The 24,792-nt window shown below is 38.1% G+C and overlaps 1 protein-coding gene across 25 annotated transcripts in view; it reads right to left on the bottom strand.

The window, feature by feature from the left end:
• Positions 1-19,615, bottom strand: part of GUCY1A1 (guanylate cyclase 1 soluble subunit alpha 1) — a 70,212-nt gene extending 50,597 nt beyond the window's left edge. For 6 of the 25 annotated variants that reach the window (NM_001130682.3, NM_001379676.1, NM_001440518.1 and 3 more), the window contains exons 1-2: positions 19,498-19,615; positions 19,044-19,117 (exon numbers count right to left, since the gene is read on the bottom strand). Coding sequence is in view for 1 of the 25 variants with exons in the window: in XM_047450147.1 (XP_047306103.1) it covers positions 18,441-18,609 (169 nt within the window). In the remaining 24 variants the exon portion in view is untranslated. Of the gene's footprint in view, positions 1-16,570; positions 16,658-17,873; positions 18,374-18,440; positions 18,802-19,043; positions 19,126-19,242 lie in introns of those variants that run through there. The other 19 variants (NM_001130683.4, XM_005262957.4, NM_001379667.1 and 16 more) reach the window with 12 other exon arrangements.

The following is a 24,792-nucleotide window of genomic DNA, read 5'->3' as shown; positions in this document are numbered from 1 at the left end:
GTAGCCCAGGCTGGAGTGCAGTGGCACACTCCTGGCTCACTGCAACCTCTGCCTCCCGGGTTCAAGTCATTCTCCTGCTTCAGCCTCCTGAGTAGCTGGGACAACAGGCGCACGCCACCACGCCCGGCTAATTTTTTTTTTTGTATTTTAGTAGAGACTAGGTTTCACCGTGTTGCCCAGGCTGGTCACGAACTCCTGAACTCAGGCAATCCACCCACCTTGGCCTCCCAAAGTGTTGGGATTACAGGTATGAGCCATCACGCCTGGCCAATAATTCTTTTATCTACTTACTTTCTCAATGTTAGTTTGGTGGAAAGGTTTAGGTTGTGAGCAGGTAGAGGTGAGACACTAATTGGCATGTTCACTTTAAGATATTTGTGCAAACAAGATAGGTCACCCAGAGTCCAGTTAAAGTAAGAGACACAGGGATTCCTGACAAAAGTGAAGTGACTCTGGGATTGACCTGTGGAACACTTGAATTACCTTTCTGAGCAATGAGGAGATACCAAGGTCAATTCATCCTTGATGGGAAGGAAGGAGTGACCTTGTGAGTACAGAACTCACCGAATGGTAGGGGAAAGACAAACTGGCTGGACTCTAACTTGTCATATTTGGAAAGAAGATTCTGGAATAAGAGACACTAGTGACTCTCACAGTTCTTCTAATCCAGCCTTTGGAAATTTTTCCAAGCTCTTTGAGAGAAAGGACAAGAAACTTATACAGCTATGAAAAATTAAGACATCTATGCAATGCTGGAGATAGAATCTTACCAAACCTAATCAAGAACACATTAATGGAGAAGTATAGGCCTGGCTACAGAAAGAACAGCAAAGAGAAAAAAAAAAAAAAAAAAAAAAAACACAAGGAGAACAAGAACAGATGCATCAATGGAGGCGGTTCAGGCGGTGGAGGAGCTGCGGAAGCTGGAGCAGGGCTGAGAGGGTCAGACAAAGCTAAGCTGTCATGCAGGAGAACACCAGGAGCTCAGTGATACATGAGCATTATATGAGACCTAAATTTCTATGTCCATAAATAAACTTTTATTGGAGCACAACCACACCCACTCATTTATGCACTGTCTATGGCTACTGTGTTCAAACTGTGCAGTTGAGTAACTGCTATGGAGGTCACATGACTGGCAAAGCCTTAAGTAGCTACTATCTTGTCCTTGATGGGGTCTGTTGACTGACTCCTGCTTTAAAGAGCTGTTGGGGACATCACATACATTATCTTATTTAATCTTCACAACAATCTTATGGGAAGGGTGTGTGAGTGTGTGTTTGTGTATTTTAGTATTTTTTACACAAGAAGAATCTGAAACATCGATCATGTAACTTGTCCTTGGCCATAGCTGGTGAGTGGCAGAAACAGGAAATGAACCCAACCCTATCTAACTACAGAGCTCCTGCTGTGGAGCTGCCTTGAGAAACCAGGAGCTTTTGACATATCATGGTGATTATTATTCAAGTTCCCCTACTAAAAAATGTAATCTGGGAAAACAAAGACTAAATTGTATCTGTTAAATTAGTGTACAGAATAAAATGAAAGATCAGGTTGTTGGGCATGTCAATTAAGGTAATGAAGTTTAGATATTCCCAAAATGAAGGCATGAGAGATGCTTCCAGGGTCCCAGTGAACTCTAAGGAGACTCCCTTTGAAAACTTCACTTTGAGCCTCTCTAGTTTTAGGCATCAGAGAAGAATTGAAAGGCAGCTAAAAAGGCTGTTGGTGTCTCTGCCACATTTAAAGGATCTTTACAACAAAGCCAAGGGATAAACTTTGGCAAAGTACGTTTCTCAGAGAAATTTTCTTTTATGACCCCAGAGAAAAGGCTCATAAAAGTGAAGTGTGAGATTCGAGGCCTGGAGACTCAGCAGATGTTTCTTTGGAGGTGGCCCAGGGGACCAGGCTACTAAGGTATTAGTAATTGATGGGTAGTCAGGTACCTTTTCTAGTTTTCTGACCAGCAGTAAAGCTCTTTCTGATTCTTAAGACAGGAAATGAACTTTTGTCATAACACTGGGACACAGATCCTTGATGCTTATGCTGGAATCAGGTTAGCAAAAGACGTGGCAAATTCCAACACAAACTCAATTCTGCCAAGTTTTTACATAATGATTAGTTTAGAAGAATCATTACCAGAAATGAATTTGGACTTCTGAACATATACTTTGCAGGTATATATTTGGATGCTTGCAAAGTCCATATTGAGAAAGGCTGAGTCTTTTCCCATTAAATCCAAACCCACAACTATATTCTTTTAATGCCTCTGCCATCTAATTGATTCAAAATAGAGAAAATTTAAAGAAATACCAAACAATTTTTCCTATTCATTTCAGTACCTCTTACATAAAAGTCAATATAAAGACAGAGTCATTTGCATAATAGGAGTTTAGAACTGGAAGAGGAGTTAGAGATTATTTATTGCAGTCCCTTCCATTTGCAGATGACAGAGTGCAGACTTCAGTGATGTGGCTCAAACCCCAAAGCTCAGGAGGTGTATAGGTGTATTGAGTTCACCCAATATACCCTGATGACCTCCTCTACTGAAAATGCTGAGAAGCCCTCCTTTCTTTGTGGACCACCAGCCACTGCAGGGAATACTTTGAGAAAACTTGAAAACTTAGTTATCTGAATTCAAATTTCACACTTCATCATCTTTTGAGGGTTAACATAACTACTTCATCTCAGACCAATCAGAAGATTACCTTTCGTCTATATATCATGCTAATATTAACATACATTATAAAATTGCTTTCACTGTCTACAGTTCCTAAAATGTTGCCCCAGACTCTTTTTCATAATTTTCTCATCTTCTTTTGCACTTTCTTGAGAAACTATCTTTTAGTCCCTTTTCAAATCTCTAAACACATTTTCTAAATAACTTTCCTCATTATCTTGTCTTTGTCACTTAATCAAGTTTGCTATTTTCCAGCCTTAATCAAACCAGCCAATGCAGGTCACAGTTTATCCAACTTTGGGACTGCCAATAATTATTTTCTGCTGAAATTGAAAGAACTACTGGCTCTGAGTCATCTGGTATAAACACGGAAGTGACATAGATAGGCTAACTAAATTGTTATTATTAAATTTATTCAATTTTTTTCCATTTATTTTCCCTGGATTCTTTGTATGTGAAGACACAAACACACCTCTGTAAATGACACACAATTTGACAAGCCATTTTTTTTGTTTTCCTATATATTCTCTTTTTCTATTTTACTTATTATTAGTGTTGTTTTTCAACTTTTTTCAGAAAAAGTGAAATCTCACTATACATAGAGTTTATGCATTTCCAAGGTCTGTGCTTGATAAAGAAATCAACAATGCTCATGTAATTTCCTATCCTCCTTTTGCACTTTGCTGTGAAATCAGCTAAATGAAAAACCATCCATGTTTCTATACTTGACTGCCTTATCAGAAACACTCAGCACAGAATCATCCATCATTTGGCCACTCAATTAATATTAACTAATCTCAATAAAATATATTAATATTAGGCTATTAGCTATAATCAATATAGGGGGCAAAACATGAACCAGAAAAAACATAAAATACAAATAAAAGAAAGCTAAATCAGAGTTTCTAAAATGTCTTGCTTATTGGAAATACATTTTAAAATGAGTTGTCAGTAGATCCATTTATAATTCAATCAAAATTTACTGTTTCATAAAAGGACAAAAAATATTCCTTTCTTTAATTTTCTTCAAAGCCTGATATGAGTGGGGTATATACACACACACACACACACACACACACACACTGAATTTTCTTTTCTTTTTTTTTCTTTTGAGATGGAGTCTCACTCTATTGCCCAGGCTGGAGTGCAGTGGCATGATCTCGGCTCACTGCAACCTCCACCTCCCGGTTTCAAGCGATTCTCCGGCCTCAGCCTCCTGTGTAGTTGGGATTACAGGCACACACCACCACGCCCAGCTAATGCTTTTGTATTTTTAGTAGAGACAGGGTTTCACCATGTTGGTCAGGCTCGAACTCCTAACCTCGTGATCCGCCCCGCTCAGCCTCCCAAAGTGCTGGAATTACAGGCATGAGCCACCGTGCCCAGTCGAATTTTCTTATGTATATATAAGAAATTTTATTAAATAGCTAATGGCTACAATAAAAAGGGAGAATAAGTAAAGATAGAGAGTTAAAACTGTTTATAAGAAATATCAGATTTAGGCGGTGGTGGCAAAAGAATCATCAGGGAAGCCTTCTTGGAATGTACAGAATTTGAGCTTATTTTTTTAAATGACTAAGTTCTGAAAATTAAGATTTTGGCAAGGGGCACGCCACAGAGAAAGAACAGTGTAAGTGAAAGCAAGAAATGAAGGAAATTGTGGGAAAGAGGCAGGAAAAGATGGCTACTAGAGATATTATAAAATTAAAGTTGGCATGATGTGGCAACTCACTAGATCTGAGGAATAGAATGACTCTGAAGTTTTGTGTAGAAAGATATAGCACCGTTCATGGAAACAGGTAACAGAAACAGAGCAGTAGGCCTGAGAGAAAGGATGTTGAATTTGTTTTAGATACATGGATCTTGAACTGAGGTAGCAGGGAATCTAGGGTGGAGGTGCTTTTGAAAATCGGAGTATTTACTTCAGAAATGTGTAACAGATTAGAGATGAATTTGTGCTCCTCCCCATAGCAGAAACCATTATAGTCAGGAGTTTAACTAAAACTGTTTAAGATCAAGAGGCTACATATATAGAGAGAAGATAACCAAATTTAGAACTCCAGGGAATCCTCATGTTTAAGGACTGGAGAAAGTATTATGACTATGACAGAGAAGCAGCAATTAGAAAAGTACAATGAGAATGAATATGAAAGAGGACACGTGTTCGAAAAGAAGTGTATGTCACAAGTCTGAAGAGGGTAAGGAGGACTGAGAAAATATCATTTGATTTTTAAATTAGAAAGATGTTTATGGCTTTTAAGGCAAAATTTTGAATAAGAATAGTAGACTGAAAGTGGAAGAAAATAAGGAGTTATAGTGATAAAGTACTACACTGTAACTGAGTACAGATTACATTAAGATCTGTGGATTGGGAAACAGCAAGTTTGAAAGAAGGATTGTGAGGATATGAAATCCTTTTCTTTTGTTACCTATATTTGTAGCTTTCTGTAAATAGAAATACTTACTATACAGAGCACAAAAGTTAGCTCAAAGTACAGGGTCTTTGACTTCTGGTTAAATTGCAGAAAGTCACAAGAGACTCCCACTCCAACACTAATAATGAGAACAAGTGAGACAAGCTCTGCAATCATAATTTTTTTAACCCATCAGAAAGCATCTATGAAAACTATAATTATTGAGTCATACTTGATGATGAAAGACTGAACACTTTTCCACTATTATTCAGGACCAAGCAAAGATGCCTGCTCTCACCACTTCTAATCAATATTGTACAGAAGTTAGGTCCTAGCCATTGCAATCAGTTAAACAAAAGGCCAAAAGGTTGCAGGTTTATGTGCACGTGTGTGTGTGTGTGCATGTGTGTGTGTGTGTGCATGTGTGTGTGTGTGTGTGTGTGTGTATCCAATCGACCCTTGAACAACACAGATTCAAACTCCATGGGTCCACTCATATGCAAATTTTCTTCTGCCTCTGCCATCCCAGATGTAGCAAAACCAACCCCTTATCTTCTTCTTCCTCCTCCTGCTCAAAATGAAGACAACGAGGGTGAAGATTTTTTATAATGACCCACTTGCACTTAATAAATGGTAAATATATTTTCTCTTCCTTTATGATTTTCTTTGTAACATTTTCTTTTCTCTAGCTTACTTTATTTTAAGAATACAGTATATAATACATGTCAATCAACTGTTTATGTTATCGGTAAAGCTTCCAGTCACCAGTAAGCTATTAGTAGTTAAGTTTTTGAGGAGTCAAAACTTTTATGTGGATTGTTGACTGTGCAGGAGTGTCAGTGCCCCAACCCCTGTGTTGTTCAAGGATCATACACATGCATGTGCACACACACACACACACACACACATATACTTAAAATTGTTCATGTAGGAATTCCCAGTGGATATACAAAATAACTAGAACTAAGAAGTAAATTAAGCAATGTTTCAGGATACAAGACTGATATACAAAATTCCATTATAACTTCTGTACTAGCCACAAATACTGGAAAATAATTATTTTAAAAACTCATTTATGATACTGTTAATAAATACTTAGCAATAAATCTAACCAAAGGCTTACAAGACTTTTACACTGAAAACTACGAACATTCACGAGATAAATTAAGGAAGGTCTAAATATATGGAGAGATATATACCATGTATAATATTGTTAAGGTACAAATTTTCTCTAAACTGGTTTATAGATTCAATGCAATTCCAATCAACATCTCAGCCATCATTTTAGTAAAAATTGACAAAATGAGGCTAAGATTTCATTGATGACATAGGATAGCCAAATTAATATTAAAGAAGAAAAAATAGCACTGAAGGACTTATATACCTGCTTCAAAACTTAAAAAGTTAAAGTAATCAAGAAAGTGAGGTATCAGTTTGAAAGGGGTGACAAAGAGATCAATGAGATAGAGATCCACAATTGTGTTTACAACAAAGGTGTCAAGGCAATAAAATCAGGAAAGAAAATATGTTTGTTTGTTTTTTAATAAAAATGCCATTGGAACAACTGGAAATCCATATAGAAATAGAAATAAACTTTTATCCACACATCATACCATATACAAAAATTAAATCTTAATGGACCATGCCATGGTTTGGATATTCGAACCTTCCAAACTTTATGTTGAAATCTAATCTTCAGTGTTGAATGTGGAGTGAAATGGGAGATGTTTGAGTCATTGGGCAGATCCCTCATGAATGACTTGGCACCGTTCTCACGATAGCCAGTGAGTTCTTGCTCTACTAGTTCCTTCAAGAGCTGGCTGTTACACAAAAGCCTGGTGTCTCCTCTCTCTCTCCCTCGCTTCCTCTCTCTCTCAGTAATCTCTGCACACGCTGGCTCCCCTTCACCTTCTGCCATGAGTGGAAGCAGCCTCATGCTCTCACTAGAAGCAAATGCTGGTGCCATGCTTCCTGCACAGCCTGCAGAACATTGAGCCAAATAAACCTCTTTTGTAAATAAATTATCCAACTTCGGGTATTCTTTTATAGCAAAATAAACAGACTACGACAAATCGTAAACCTAAGTACGAAAGTTACAACTATAAAACTTACAGAAGAAAACATAAAAGAAATTCTTTGTGACCAGGTTTGAAGCAAAGATGCTTAAATTTGAAAAAAAAAACATGAAATATTTAAAAAGAGCATGATAAAGTGGACTTCATCAAAATAAAAAAAATACTTTGGCTCTTCAAAAGACATTATTACATAAACAAAAACACAAGTCATATACTAGAAGAAAATATATGTAACACACAACAGCAAGGGAGTTTAATTCAGAATATACAGTTTTCCAACTCAGTAAGAAAATAAACAATTCCATTTTAAAATGGGCAAAACATCTGAATAGACAATCATTAAAGAAGGTATATAAACAGTCATAAACATTTCTTCATATGCTCAATATTATTAGTTATTAAACAAAAACCCATTAGAATGGCTAAAATTCTAGAGTTCAGCAATGTCAAGAGTTATTGGCAATGTGGAATAACTGGAAATCTCACAGATTACTGGTGGGAATGGAAAACAGTTTGGCAGTTTCTTAAAATGCTAGACATTCAACAAATGCTATTGTTTATAAGCAAAACTTGGGTAATTCACAAATCATCAGGAAAACTTGCAATGTGGGCAGAAAGGTTACCATAGTAATTACCATAGTAAGTAAAAGTGTGAACCCTCCCTGGCTACAAATACCGGTTCCATTATTAATTAAATGTATGACATTAGGCAAGTGACTTATCTACTCTGTGCATCATCCATTTTTTCATCTGTAGAACAGTGATGAGAATAGAACATTCCTCAAGGGATTTGATTAAAGTAATGCAGTTGTATTAATGCTTGGAATGTAAAATGTACCTAAGAAATGTTCACTATTATAAACTGGACTTGATATAAAATTATTGTAAAAACCTTTATGTTTACCTTGTTCAAGACACATTTGAGTTAAAGCAGCATTTCTCGAAATGTGGTTTGCAAACTCTTGGGGATGTCCTGAGACCTTTTCAGAGGATATGCATGGTCAGAACTATTTTCATAACAATATTCTAATATTATGCACCTTTTTCATTCTCATTCTCTCACAGATTGCAGCAGAGTTCTCCAGAGACTACATGACATGTGATGATGTAATCATTCTAATGGAATTTATATTTGTGTAGAATTTTCTAAATTAGTAGGTTTAAAGTATAAGTGTACATTTTTGGAGATTAACGCAGTTTGTTCTCAGAACTCTATTATTTTTCCTAACTATCAGTATACTTGTTATAATGTTTGTAATTTCATTATTGTCTAATAATTTATTATTTTGAAATCTTGAAGTTTTTCTTGGTCTTAAATGTAAACATAAGAAGTAATTCCACTTTGCTAATTTTTTATATAAACTTATTATTTTAGATTTTAATATTTATTCTAAGACCAAGTCTATTGATTTTTTCATATATATACATATATATATATTTTTGAAATGGAATCTCGCTCTGTCAGTCAGGCTGGAGTACAGTGGCACGAACTTGGCTCACTGCAACCTCCGCCTCCCAGGTTCAAACAGTTCTCCTGCCTCAGTTTCCAAAGTAGCTGGGATTACAGGCACCCACCACCATGCCCGGCTAATTTTTGTATTTTTCATAGAGATGGGGTTTCACCATGTTTGACCAGGCTGGTCTCGAACTCCTGACCTCAGGTGATCTGCCCACCTTGGCCTCCCAAAGTGCTGGGATTACAAGTGTGAGCCACGGTGCCCGGCCTGATTTTCTTCTTATATTTAAGGATGGATTCTTGGCTTAAAAAGAGGAAACTAGAACACTTTTTCAATCCACGGCTGCACTATCTAGGACTGCCATTGTGAGCTTATAGCTATCCAATACTTAAAACTTCCTGATGAGATCAGTGGTGATAGTCATGAAGGCTAACTTTTGACACTGTATAATGAAGTGTGTCACCATTTGGAAAATGTATAAATTTCAATGGACCAATATTTTCCAAATGACTGTGATCCTACATATAAGCTGATGAACAAAATCATGTATGAGTAAAGGATCCATTCCCAAGCATTCTTCAGGATCTTTCTCTTATAATCACATTACCTAATCTTCCCTTAGAATCTTTCATCAACTAATCTGATTATTTATTCACTCACTCATTCATTCACATATGCCAAAAATATTTATTAGGTACCTATTACTACATTCTAAAGGACGAAATTTCAGGGATTAAAAACAAAAACAAAGAAATAAAAACAATCCAATCCTAGTTCCTTAAGGAACGTTTTGAGTAAAGGTTGGGGCGGACAGACTTAGACCACACAAACTCAGTTCAGTGTGATGTCATGACAGGTTGTGATGGGGACATGAAGAATCTGCATGTGCCCCTGTACAGTACATTGGTAAACATGTCCCTGAAAACGTGACACTTAAGGTGAGCTTTGTAGAATAAATAGGAAATAGCGAGGCAGAGACAGCAAAGTAAGGCATTGCAGGAGCAGAAAAATAAATGCAAAAGACAAAGACTGGAAAACAAAAAAAGGTTGGGAATTAATTGCAGCTAAGACAACATGACCATAACACACTACTCAAGGAAGAGAATGATCAAGAATAAAGCTGCAGTCAGGCAGTAAAATACAGCTGTCAGATTACCCACTTAAGTGATAAACACTGCATGACTCCTACACCACTTAAAATGAGTTTTAACACACGCTCTGCAGCAAAAATTCTTGAGACTTACAATCACTGGCCAATTAGTATTTATCAAGGACAGTGAATGTAAATAGAAACACAGCCAAATACCTTTTCACTGTGTACAAAATAGACGGTGACAACATGCAACTACTAATTTCCAGGACGCGCTGAAACAGATCCAATGTTAAGATAAAAATAAACTAAAATGATTTTCCTCTGGTTTGATTTAGGTAGATAATCAAGGCCATAACATGCCGATGTGGAAAAATGTCCCAACCATCCCCAGGAATGAAGAAAACTAATAGGCAACAAAATTGTTAAAAAAAAAAAAAAAAAAACCAGCTCTTCTTAGGACATTCTTTGCTTTCTTTTGGTCTTCCTCTTTCTATTTAAGCCCTGTATTGTTGCCCAATACACCCTATTTAGGTCTCATTTTCTTATCTATGTCCCACATACTGAGCCTTTCAGTTTCCTTTTTCTCTTTACTTTAAAAAGCTATGTCCAAGTGTCATGCTCTTGATTGAAGGCAGAAAGACAACATAATAAAAGTAACCACTGCTATTGGGCAACCTCTTCATTGTGCTGCTCTTCACGGTAAAACAGGCATCTTATTGACTCCAGGAGACACTCCAAAAGATTGCATCAACCCAAAGGAGATTTAGGCCTTAGGACAGGACCAAGTGGGAGAGCAATTTTTGTGGAAGGTGGCCTTGTGATATCCCTCATATACAACTTTCTTGCTCTCAGCCAAGCCAGCAGGCAAGCCATAAAGCCATAGGTGGTAACCAGTCTAGGTTAAGATAAACTCTCACAGCTTCAAAGAGGAGGAGAGAGAGAAGAGAAGAAAAGCAGTGACTTTAATTAGGATAATTTGTTCTCCAAAGTATAAACTCTTATCAGGGCATATCACAGCTCTCCTACATACCACTGCTGGATTTTTGTTAGCATAAGATGAAACAACAAGGGCTTATGAATTATTCTGAGCCAGTGACACAGAAAATAAGCAGAAATAGATGCTGCGGTGTATTAAATTGTTATTTGGGATAGAGCTGGACAAAGAGGAATATGACTTACAATTAGTGACTACAAATATTTTAAAACATTAAAAGAAATAGAATTTTACCCAAAGACGTTTGTTTTCGCTGGGAAGCCTGCCTTTTGCTAATCATATTTACAAATGTATAGTGCTAATCTAATATATGGATATCTTGCTTTACAACTCATGTACTGACAATTTTATTGCATTTACCCAAATTTCCTTCAATGCTACATTTGTAACTCTCTAAATACTTCATATATAGTGCTAAAGATCTTGATATAACTTTATGCTCACAAATACACAATTTAAAAGTTTATGTTATACTATGGAATACTGAAACTCCTTGTCACTTATTTTATTAACTTAATAATGTAATAAAAACCACATATCATTTAACTGCTTATAATGAGCATATTTGAAGCTGCAAAGTGATATTGCAAATGGAGAAAAATAAGCAGCTAAAAATTCCAGTGCATATACTGTCACGTGCCAAATAACAATGTTTCTGTCAGCTATGGACCACATACACAATCATGTTCCCATATGTTTATAATGGGGCTGAAAAATTCCCATTCCTTAGTGACTGATAGCCATTGTAATGTCATAGCACAATGCATAACTGAAATGCTCGTGGAGATGTTCGTGCAGGCAAACCTACTGTGCTGCCAGTCATATAAAAAGCATAGTACATACAATTACCTACGGTATATAAAACTCGATAGTGATAATAAAGTACTATTTTATTGGTTTATGTATTTACTATATTATGCCTTTTATTGTTATTTTAGAGGGTACTAGTTTTACTTATAAAAATAAGTTAACCGTAAAACAGCCTCAGGCAGTTTCATCAGAAGGTATTCCAGAAGAAGGCATTGTATTCATAGGCGAGGACTGTTCCATGCTTGTTATTGTCCCTAAAGATCTTCCAGTGAGAAATGTGGCAGTGGAAGACAGTGAAACTGAAGATCCTGACCTTGTGTAGGTCCATGCTAAGGTGTGTGTTTTTGTCTTTATTTTTAATAAAAAAGCTTAAGATGTAAAAAGAAATAAATTTTAAAAATAGAAAAAATCTGTTAGAATAAGCATATAAAGAACGAAGATGCTGGACTTGTAATCTAACCCTTCTTTATTTTAAACATTTTTTTTTTACAAGTACTCTCCACATAACTTCACTGTTCCAAGTAGGCTCATGATAGCACATGTTTTCTTTGTTTCTTTGTTTCTTTCTTTCTTTCTTTTTTTTTTTTAGATGGAGTCTCGCTCTGTCGCCCAGGCTGGAGTGCAGTGGCGCAATCTTGGCTCACTGCAAACTCCACCTCCTGGGTTCAAGCAATTCTCTGCGTCAGCCTCCCGAATAGCTGGGATTACAGGCACCCACCACCATGCCCGGCTAATTTTTTGTATTTTTAGTAGAGACGGAGTTTCACTGTCTTGGCCAGGCTGGTCTTGAACTCCTGACCTTGTGATCTACCCGCCTCGGCCTCCCAAAGTGCTGGGATTACAGGCGTGAGCCACCACGCCCGGCCATAGCACACGTTTTCACTGAGTGCTTATGAGCCATTGAGCACTTGTATTAGATGACTGTGTATAAAATGGGGAACTAAACAGAAATGGTACCTCTCTCCACAAGTATCAGTATAATAGTAAAAATTCAGCAAGTAATTATTCATATCATAATAATTCTACAAAGGAAGCACAATGTGTTACAGGAAAACATAATAAGGCATGCAATTTAGGCTTGGAAGTTCAGGGAAAGGTTTTAAGAAGCAGAGCTTAGTTTGAGATCTACAAGATGTGTAGGTGTGGGCCCCACAAAGATTGAACAAGGGGAAACGAAAAGCTAGAAATGGAAAAGTGGTGTTCTCCACAAATAAATACTTCAAAGCTATGGCCTGGGAAGGCTCAGCATTACCCGTTCCGCCACACACAGGGTACACACACACACATCAAACACACACATGCACACCCACACACACATCTGATCCCTGCAGTGAATCCTTTCCTTTCCTCTGTCTAGAATACTCTTCCTACTGTTTGCCACATTTAAATCCTACAGGTCCTGTGATGTCCAACATCCTGATCTTGTTTTAAAACCTCAGCTAAGTCTTAGATTTCCTCTGGAAAGCCTTACTCAATATTTCCATCATACCGAACTCTCTTCCTTCTCCTAACTTCTTTAAAACTTATTAAAACTATTCTACAAATATTATGCTCATTGTTAAGTGCTGACATGTATAATTCTGAGACTATTTCTTGGTTTTGTTCATGCAGACTTTAAATTCCTTCAAGTCAAGGAGTGTGTGTCATAAACTTTGCTTTGTATCTTCCTCAGTGACAAGCATAATCCATAATAAACTTTATTGAGAGAAGTACAAAATAGTGGCTGAGTCTCTAAGAAGAGTGTTATAAAATATAAGACATAAAATAAGTTGAAGCTTATAAAAAAAAGAAAAAATGTCCTTTTAATTCTTGCTATGATTGCCAGATAAAGTGGTGATAATGGCATTTTTATTAGATATAGGAAGAGCACACTGGATAAAGATATTCAAATCACAGTACATGAACAAACAGGCAGAACTACTCTGCTCTTGTTTTGTTTCATATCCATTCCTTAAGAAAACAATATCCATACTTATAAAAGTAGAACAAAACTAAAAATAACAAAGGTCCAGCATGTAGAATGATAGCAAATATTCTAAATGAGTTTAAATCCATTAATTTGGAGAAATTACACTACAAAATATTGAAAGCATGTGTGGATAAAATAAAGGAATTGTTAAAGTCATCTTTAAAAATATTGTGATGAAGAGAAGTGTTGACAGAGTCCAACCATTGCCTCAATTTTCAAAATTGGGAAGGTGGATTCCATCAGCTATAATTTAGAGAGCTGGACATTAATTGCAGGTACTATTCCAAAGAGATGATTAAAAACATGGCATGCAAGCATTCAAAATGTGAAGTGCTGTTATCTACAAGATAAGGAGAGGTCACAGGAACCTATCCTTGTCAACTAACCTAGTTATCTCCTTTTGTTTTTAATAGCAGTTACTTGACATCTATTCTGCAGAAAGTGGAGACTCATTTCAGGGAGGAATTTGACCAAGTCTGTCTCAGTATACTCTCTTAAGTCACACAAAGGAATGTCAACTTCAAAGAGAGTTATTTGACTATATAACTGGTTGAACAGCCTTATAAAGAGGAATAATTTATGGACTAATGTAAAGCAGGAGTCTAACGTAAAGGACGGTGTCTAGGAATATGCCAAAGGTAGTTCCAGTTCAGCATTGTAGATAGTTACTTGGATGAAGATGTTAATTATATCCTGATCAAATCTGTTAATTCCTCTAAATTGGTGAAAATGGCTATTCTGTATCAAGGACTCAGAATCCAAGATGACCTTGACTTTCTGGAACAACAGGCTAACTAAAGGTAATGATTAAATTTAATTGCAGTAAGTATTTGTAAAAGTCCCAAATCAAGTGGCCAAACATAAAATTCGATGGGGAAAATAAGTGTATTTGCAGAAGAATGTGCAAAAAAGATACATAATTAAACAGTGTTGTATGAGTGCAAAAAAAAAACGGAGGGGGGAAGAGTAGAATAGATTTCAGGTTGATTTACTACATGATATCCAGAGAAGATAAATATATCAGAGGACAGTCCTCTATGTTAAACTCTGGGGATCACACTTTAATAAAAACAGAAGTGCATCCAAAAGAGAAAAGCCCTGGTAACAATGAGACTCTCAACCCATGGTAAATAAGCATGGGTTGAAGAAACTGAATATTATCTTAGACACTATTAAGAGTTGTTAGATGTAAAAGCATTTTCTATAAATACTCTAAGAGGTAAAAAATTAAAGATATAAATATTATAGAGACAAATTCGATAGCTGAATATAAGAAAAGAGTTCTTATGCTCACAGCTGGTCAAAGAAATGCTTACTGTATTCAAGATGAGTGTTGACAAATAATTTGCCCAAACTGACCTTAACATCCTCTGTGAATTAAAAAGTATGGTCCTCTGCTAAGAATGAAGAGTCTGGAGATAATCTGGGCAGACTAGAAAACCTGGAAAAATCCAGAATATGTACCATGGAGAATTTGATATGACATTAACTAAAAAAGAATAAAATAGCTGCACAAAGTATCCTCCAAGCTGACATTGGAGTGAAGCAATTGGTAGTTGGCTACAAGATACAGTTATGTCTCTCTTTGTCCAGCTAAATCAACAGCAAGGAAGGTAAAGCAAACATTAAAAGTGAAGCTGACATTGGGAAGGCAGGTTCTGGTAGGTCTAGTGGCAAGAGATTTAAGGGTTGGAGCAGAGTTAAAATTGTTGGTGAAATAAATAACAGTTTACAAGCAATTCTGAAGAGGCCACAAACTATATGACGGAAGAGCACACAAGGGTCTCTGTCACCAAGACCATAGCTCCATGTGGTAGCATCAAAGCATAAACAAGCCTTAATTCAAGAATAACAATGACAACAATGTTAAGCTCTTTAGACACCTACTATGCACCAAGCACTATGGATCCAACATTGGATACCGTGAAGGAGATTTGAGTTTAATGGGAGATGCAGACATTTAAACAGGTACTTTCAATGTCATGTGACATAGCAAAAGGGGATAAATAGATAGGCTGGACCTAGAAAAAAAGGTCAGGATTAAGAAATGGGTCTGCCCCATTTGCTTCCCCCCTAAGAAGGTGTTCACTCTCAAAGCCATTGTCTCGTGTCGACTTCCTGCTAATTCTTAGTATGGTGAGATAGATGACTTGGTATGTGAGTTAATTAATTTGACTTGGCCTCAATTTTTAAAATGGAGGATTTGTTTTAATGAAATATTGTTTAATGGCCAGAAAGCATACCAGAAGTTAGAAACTACAGGCTGTGAGGCACATTCTTGTGGCAAGGAAGAGCCTGCTCCAGAGTCCCTCAAGTTTTAAGATGTAGCCATTCTCTCCTACTGTGGGCTGAGAGGGAAGCCCACTCTACAGCTCTTCTTTCACCCCTCCAAAATAACTCTGTTCATCCTCTGTAAGCCTTCGAGGCTATAGGAAGATGAAGCCTATTGGCATGAACCCAGGGAAGAAGAAAAATTACATATATAATAGGTAAGACATTTCAAAATGTTCTGAAAGAAAATAAAAGAAGCAGATATGATTCAGGATAGCCAGGAAATTACTTCACCCAAAGTAAATCAACTAGTAACTAAACATTGACAAAAGCTCTTCTTATATCAAGTCAAGATGTAGACACCCAAAACAAACTATTGCAGAATGAATGTAGATGGTCAAGAGACAAACATATTTTTAATTATTAATACTTTGGGGAAAAAATTTGTTTTTACAAATGTGCAGAAAAGTAATAAATAGAAATGTTTAAGAAAAGTGGCTTGGGTAAATATTTTTAATTAACCAGTGTAAAAATAGTGCCTTCAAAATGGAATATTCTCACAAATAAAAGCCAAGCAACTTCTTAGTGAATCTGACAGAAAAAGTCATTCTCAGTAACAGCTTCCTCCAAAAATTTTTCCCATTAATGCACATACTTTTTGGCTTGTATTACTGAAATGTTGCTTTACCTTTCCATTTCCCCTTACTTGTAGAGATTCATTCTGATGGCTAATTTGATGTTTATTTAGTTCTGAAAAAAGGTTAATTAGAAATTATGGGGGTGCAGATCGTGTTATTTTAAACTAACCTGTAAAGCAAGAAATATTATCCTCAGTCCACACTCATTAGTTGCTAGCAAATGTAAATGCAGGATTTAATTTCCCTTGTATAGTTTCTGAAAAAATTCAAAGTTATGCAATATCAATGTGTCAATAAAAGTGATGTTAGATAAACATTTAATTTTTTTCAATTTCATTTGAAAAATATAACAAAATTCTTAAAATTCGGTCACAAAATATTTTACTGATGTATTTGTAATAGATATACTTTAATTTTAATATTATCACTTGTTTGTAGTGAAATATTAAAATAGCTTTTCAAAATGTCTTAAGAAAGATCCCTTAATAAGACATAATTATAAGAGTTATAAGTACTAAGCATTGTGAAGTTTTTCACACTTTTGTTTTTGGTATTGCCATAAATAAATAAAATAATTTTATATTTCCTTCCTCATTCTCCGAATGACAGAAAACGATTTTAATCATGTTATTTAATACCTGAATATCTAGAAGCAAGACCTTTAAGGGGCTATTTATATTTCATACACTATGAGACACTATACCAAGCATAAGTACTTTATATTTTGATTGGATTTCAAAGACAAAAATATAATTTTTATTTTCTGTCGTATAATAGAAAGAGATCTTACAATATAAAGTATAAATATACCTTATAAATATAAATATAAGGTACCCATCTATTAATTACAAATTTCTACTAAATACGTTCACAGACCTGTTTCCTAATACATTAAAATACATACATCTGGTCTATTTTATGTGAAATATTTAACTACGGTAACACCATTTAATTGTTCTAGAATTTTCCTTCTAGCCTATGTCTGCAGGCTGTATGTAGACAGCCTGTTGTTTTGATAAGAAAAAGTATGGCTTACGTGTTTTTACCCCGTGGTTCTTAATTTTCTATTAGGACACAGGTCCATTTTGGATATTTGACTATGTACTATCTCCCTTAAAATGCAGCCACTCTAATGTTTAAATACAATTTTAGGGACTTCACGGCCCCTTGAAGAAGATCACGGACCCAGTTGTTTAATGGCTGAACAAAGCACAGAATGCATAGACAACTTCCACTGAAGCAATAATAAAGCTTATATGTATAACTTTCAGACCAATTAAGTGTTGCTTATTTTGGTTACATCGTCGTTGCTATCATAACGAGTTTACTTTTTACCACTGTACATAATAGGGTACCTGAAATGATCACTCTTAAAGAAAAAATATGTATAGCAATTTTAGGAAAAGCAACAGACCACTTCTACACTCTGAACCAAGATAAAAAAAAATTATATCAAGTGCTTCTATGCTTACCCATATGTAACAGGAAAGTTTGACGTTTGTACAAAGACAGTTCTAGTAAGTGGTAGAGATGTATGAAATCAAATCAATTCATTAAATAGGCATTTAGTGAAATTACCATAGGAGAACTGATCCTAAAACATCACTATTGATATGTTATAAATGAAGTTCAAATGAAAGAAAAAAAAATCTGTCCTATTTAAAACTCAGCACTGTTTCCATAGGTTCCAAATCAAGATGCCTTCAACCAGTCATCGTTAAGTGAGCCATACAATCTTCTGGCTTACTTCAGAAGATGTAAACTGTTTATCGAGTGCAAAATGAAAGAATAACCATGTGAAAATCAGTGAGCAGAGAAAGACGCACGAAATCCATAGCCTGAAATCACATGACCACATTGCAACGCAGCCCCTCACACCATTGTCACTGTCAGGCAGCTCAGGCGACAGGGTGCAGACAGGCGCGGAGACCGCGGTGGCCCCCTGCTCACGCTTTCTCCAAGAGCCGCAGTCCTAACGAAAACAGAAATGGGACTGCTAAGCAGTAAATCATTTGTCTCTCTCGCACACACGCGCACACCTCGTGGAGCCGCTGGGCAGTTAGCCGGCTGCCTTCTCTGGGCAGCCCAGCGATCGCAGCTTTTGCTGTGGAGGAGGACGCGCCTCTTACCCACGCCGCAGCCGGCCGGGTGAAGTTGCCCTGAAGCCCGCCACCGCCTCCAGCCCTGCTGCCTCCGGGGTCCAGGCATCCCCCAGCTGCGCCCGCTCGCTTGCCTGCCGGCGCGCCGGAGGCCGCAGCGCTGCACGCGGCTGATGGGCTCTGGGGCCCAGGCGCCCTGGCCGTGGGAGACCAGCGGCCCCGGCGCGCCCCGCGCGTTCTCACGGCCCGGCCCCGCGAGCTCAGCAGCCGGCGCGGCGCTGCTCGGCGCCCACCCCCGTCTGTGCTCCTCCCTCGGGCGCCGCGGGTCCCCCGGGCCCTGGGCCGGCCCCTCGGGCGTCCTCTCCTTTCCTCTCGCTCCTCCCCAGCGTGGGAACCCGATGCTGGCTTCCCAGGGCTGGGCAACTGGGAGCGTACCGAAGGTTTCTCAGGAGAGGAAGGAGACCCAGCCCAAGCGGGGGTCCCGGAAGAGGGACCGCCTGTCTGAAGAACCCCGACCCGCGTGGGGATGCAGCGACCACTTACTTGGTGGCTTCGCACACCTCGGGGCTGTGCTTCCGGATCTCTAGCAGCTCCAGGGCGCGCCTCGCAAATCCGCACTGCGAATGGAGAAAGAGAGCAGGCGTCAGGGGTGGCAGGCAGTGAGCGGGAGAGGGGACCCTGCAGTGGCACCTGTCGGTCCCCGCGCGAGTGCACCCTGGGCACTCGCGGCAGCGGCACTTACGCTTGGGTCGCTCATGTCTACCTGTTCAACAGGCTAGGCGGGACGCGGCGTGCCTCGGAAACTGTATCGCCCGCGTGGCTCCCAGACAGTCCTCCTTGCCTTTGTCTCTCTGTGTCTGTGTCTCCCTCTTTGATCACCCCAAAGGAACCCTTGCAGTTCCTTTCCATAAGGCATTCGATTTTTTCAGACCTCTGCCCGCCTCCTCCCCTTCTCCGCACCGAAAGACTGAAAAAGAAAGTAGCAGCCAAAACGCACCATGGTGAGATCACGCCCGGCTGGGGTCTCTAAGCTCCTCCAGGCGCTCCCTCCCCCACAGGTGTCCTCCGCCTGGGTCTGTTCCAGGCTGCTCGCTGCTCTAGCGCAGGAAAAGTGTAGGAAAACTCTGCACTGAAACCTGCTTCTGGAAAACTGACTCTGAGCTGAGTCCCACCCACTAGGCTCAGACTAGGGCAGGGGAACTGAGTCCTGGTCTCTGCAGCCGCCCAATCGCCATAACAGAAATCACTGTGTGGAGACAGAGACCTAGGGGCAGGGGACAAAAAAAAAAAAAGAGAGAGAGAGAGAGAAAGAAAAAAATTGGAGGGGACTCCAGGAAAATTTGGCACACTTAAAAAGAAAAACAAAAACATGTCTTCTCCACTATGCACTGGTGTGGAAAAACTGTAGTTTTCCACAGTTAAAAACTCCAACATTTCTGCTGGGGAAGTTGACATCTGCGCTGATGACTCTCTTGTCCTGGTTTTCAGATTTGAAGCCAATCTACTCATTTGCAGATGCAGTTTTATGGTTACAGAGATTTTACATCTTTTCAGTAAGGTCTGGCTTCTGCCTGGTTCAGTGCATTTAGTTATATTTGTTACCGTTGTGTGTGTTGTGATATTATGCTTTTAGTCACCTTTCTGACTTAAAAAAATCCCATCATGCTGTTCCATTGTGAATTAACAATTAATCATGATCTTTATGTGATCCATTTTCAATTCAGTTCAATTCATGGTTATCTTCCTCTTTTATATCTCCCCCAAGTACACCATCTAATCTGGTCCCATTTGTAAGCTCATCACATTTGCAAACTTTCTCCCAGTCTTGCCTACTGTGCTTGCCTCATAGTGAACATTAATCAGAATCAGGAAAAAAATACATTTAAATAAGTCAGGAACAGTTAAGAAAGTCAGCAATATAAGCACAGGTAGTCACAGAAACTTTTGCCTTCCTGCCATCTCAGAAACTTCTCTTCCTCTACATTTAACCCATGATACTCTCTTAGATCAGTAGGACATTTGTACTAAGAATATTTAGAACTTCAGATGTAGAAGGAAACTTAAAAAATACACAGTAATTCATTAGTAAAAAGAAGAGGGAAGTCATACTATTTTTAAGTAAATGCTATGAACATTCAGAAGAAAATGAGATATTGTCTGACAGGGTTCATAAAGGAACAGTACTAGAGATAGGACTTGAAGGATTGGTTATGTTTGGAAAAAGATAAAATAGAGGACTTTTTTGTTGTTTTTGCTTTTCTCTGACAGAGGGAAACTTGTGAGCAAACATACAGAGGTTGGAAAGGCATGACACTGTTATTCAAGAAACAAGGAGTAATACCATCTGGTAGAAATAAAAAGTACATAAAGAAAAGTGTAGGAAGATACGGTGGAAAGATAGGCCGGGTTCAGATGCCTGATCCGCAGTTGTCACGTGTTGCAGGCTTGTATAAAGACTTTGTTGTTGCTGTTGTCCTCGTCTGTTGATACCATTACCAATATTCCTTTCATTCTGGAAAATGACTTGTTTAACCCATTAATTTCTACTTTTACCATTCTCAAGTTTTATGGCACACCAAACTCCTTGATTAGTATTGCATTTGACCCCAGTACATTCTGCCAGGAGCTACCGAGTTTTACTAAGAGTAGACTCTCAACTGGATAGTGTCTTGTCTTCTTCCTCCTCTATCCTTTCTGACTGTCAGACAATGGGTAAGAAGAGGAAGCAACCAATCTAAACATAAGGGTGGCTAGAACCACCAAAAGGTGACTGCAAAAGACATTCTGTAATCTGGATGTTTGATATGCTCTAAAAAAGTAACAAGAGTTCCTTGTTGTTAGGGAAATACTAATCTTCACAGCCTAATTTCCTAGTAATGAAAATGGTTCATAACGGGATTCACTAAAATGCCTGCTGAGTGGATAAATGAATACCTGAATATTTCATCATCTTCCAGGTCCAATCTTCTTTCTTATAGTTGACTTATGGGTTAAAACCTACTTTCCTCCACTTTATGGAGAATAAGAAAGTTGTCATGACAACTTAATAAAAATGTTAACAAGGAAAATTACTCAGTGTAAAGCAATCTCCTTAGCCATGTTGATGCTGGCAGAAAAGCTCAAGAAATTTTTATTTCCTCTCAAGATGCTTTGTTTTTCTTGTACCTACAACCCACAATTGACAACAGCATGAAAGCATTTAAATGTACATTACTTTCACACTTGCAAATGAAAGGACAATGGCAACTAGAGATAGTATCTAAATCCTTGCTACTCAGAGTATGGTTTCTATATTAGCAGTATCCCATAACCTACAATCTTGTTGGAAATACAGAAGTTCAGGCCCCTCTCTAAACCAACTGAATCAGACTATCCATTAAACAGAATCCTCAAGTGATTCCTATGCACATTAAAGTTTGAAAAGCACTGGTCTACTATCAAGGCATTAAGTATGATAAGCCTCAAAACACATCGTATGAATCTTTCTAAATTCAGGGATTTTTAGAACCTGCATCTTTATTTTTCTGGGTTACTATTGCCATGTCAGTTCAAATAAAGTAATGGGACTAATGGTTTCATCTCTACTGACTTTGTGGACCATAAAAAATCCATAAACCAAGGGGAATTAAGAACGAGATAGAGAACAGTAAAAGGGTAGAAATGAGAGAAGTGTTACATATATGTCAGGGTCAGAGCTTTGTTTTATTTTTAGCAAACGAACAAACTATGGATTGTATGGTTTACCAAATTAGGATAACCTCTCAAATATAAGAAAAATAAGATAAACTTCTGGCTCCTTATTTCCTCCTTTTCTTAGTATTATTCATTTTCAATTTGTTTTAATGTACCTGGTTAAAGTTTACACTGGTAACTTGCAGTAAGATGATGCAAAGACTCCAAAATGTCTCTTTTGTATGAATGTAAAGCTTTAGTTAGAAAAACTAGATCTTATTAGGTTGGCGTCCACGCATTTCTAGTCCTGGTATAGACATTCACAAAGCAGCCTGGACTGGAAGAGATTCTGATGGTAACAGAAATGCTGTCCACTATATTTTTGCCAAGGAGTTGGTGTTTGTGAGCAGTAAATACAGTGGTAGGTAGAATAATGGCACTCCAAAGATGTCTACCTGCTAATCCTTAGAACCTGTGAATATGCAATTTTACATGGCAAGAGAGAAGTAAGGATGCAGATAGAATTAGGGTTACTAATCAGCTAGTCTTGAGATGGGAATATTATTCCAGATTAGGTGGGTGAACCAAATGCAATCAAAAGGGTCCTTGTAAAAGAAAGATTAAAGCAATAGAGTCAGTCAGAGTCGGAGTGATGCTATGTTAGAAAGAATTGATAAGCAATTGCTGGCTTTGAAAATAGAAAGGGGGCTGGGTGCAGTGGCTGACACCTGTAATCCCAGCACTTTGGGAGGCGGATGCGGGTGGATCACTTGAGGTCAGGAGTTCGAGACCAGCCTGACCAATATGGTGAAACCCTGTCTCTACTAAAAATACAAAAAATTAGCTGGGCATGGTGGCAGGTGCCTGTAATCCCAGCTACTCGGGAGGCTGGGGCAGGAGAATTGCTTGAACCTGGGAGGTGGAGGTTGCAGTGAGCCGAGATCACGCCATTGCACTCCAGCCTGGGCGAGAAGAGCGAGACTCCGTCTCAAAACAAAAAAAAAGTAGAAAAGAAAAGAAAATAGAAGGGGCTTAGCCAAGGAATATGTGCAGCCTCTAGAAGATGAATAAGGCTAGAAAATTATCCTCCCTTAGAGTCTCTGGGACAGAAAGTAGCCCTGCCATCACCTAGGTTTTAGTCTAATGAGACTCATTTCAAACTTCAGACTTCCACAGATGTAAGATAATAAACGTGTGTTGTATTAAGCACTAAGTTCGGGGGTAATTTGTTACAATAGTAATAGGAAACTAAATGTCAAAGTGTCTTTGGTATTGGACAATGGCAAAGGCTGGAAGAATTGTGTGTAGCCAGCATTTTAAAAACCTAGATTGCAGGGTGGGGGGATGGGGGAGGGATAGCATTAGGAGATATACCTAATGTAAATGATGAGTTAATGGGTGCAGCACACCAACATGGCACATATATACATATGTAACAAATCTGCACGTTGTGTACATGTATCCTAGAACTTAAAGTATAATAATAAAAAATAAAATAAAATAAAAACCTAGATTGCCTTGAACACATTGTTAGTAGAAACATGGATGCTAACTCTGCTAGTGAGGCCTCAGAAGAAAGTGAGAGGCATGGTAGAGAAAATCTGTATCATCTTAGGGAATACATAAATCATCATAAATCATCATGAACAGACTGCTGGTACAAATATGGACATTAAAAGTGCTACGAACAGGATACAGGTGGAAATGAGGAAAGTGTTATTGGAAGTTGTAGGAAAGGAGATCATCAGTTGATATGGTTTGGCTGTGTCCCCACTCAAATCTCACTTCGAATTTTAACAATCCTCACATGTCAAAGGCAGGGCCAGGTGGAGATAATTGAATCATGGGGGCAATTTTCCCCGTACTGTTCTCCTGGTAGTGAATAAGTCTCACGAGATATAATGGTTTTATAAACGGGAGTTCCCCTGCACAACTTGTCTTGCTTGTTGCCACATAAGACGTGGTTTTGCTCCTCCTTCACCTTCCGCCATGATTGTGAGGCCTTCCCCAGCCATGTGGAACTGTGAGTCCCTTAAACCTCTTTTTCTTGAAAAATTACCCAGCCTCAGGTATGTCTTTATTAGCAGCGTGAGAACAGACTAATATGTCAGTATATGGTGGCAGAAAACTTAGCCGAATTATGTCTCACAGATATGTGGAAATATTGATCTTGGATATTTAACTGAGAAGATTCCTAAGCAAAATGGTGAAGGCACAGCCTACTTTCTTCTTGCTATTGTAAAATGTGAGAAAACAGAGAAAGATTGAAGGAAGAACTGTTAAGCCGAAAAAGAACCAGAACTTTATCTGGGAAATCCTCAACCTATCCACATTGCAAATTTTGCTATGTCATCTTTTGTCATGGTAAACGTGTCTTTTTACTTTGCAAGTCTGAGAGATTTTATCATTTCTCATATTTGAAAAGCCTGCTACATGTCTAGATACAGGAGGCCTCTATATGTTTAACTTATATTAAAATAATAGTTATACTGACTTTTAGTTGCCAATAGTTAGCCCTGATATCATTACATAGGCACTAGTATTCCATAAATTGTATGCACTTTGAATTAAAACAAAATGGTATCCTATAGGCCCTGACATATTTAATGCTGTTTCAAAA

The sequence above is a fragment of the Homo sapiens genome, chromosome 4 (assembly GCF_000001405.40).
Source record: "Homo sapiens chromosome 4, GRCh38.p14 Primary Assembly".
NCBI classification, from domain to species: Eukaryota; Metazoa; Chordata; class Mammalia; order Primates; family Hominidae; genus Homo; species Homo sapiens.
Note: the sequence above shows the minus strand (reverse complement) of the source record. Positions and strands in the feature narration are given on the sequence as shown.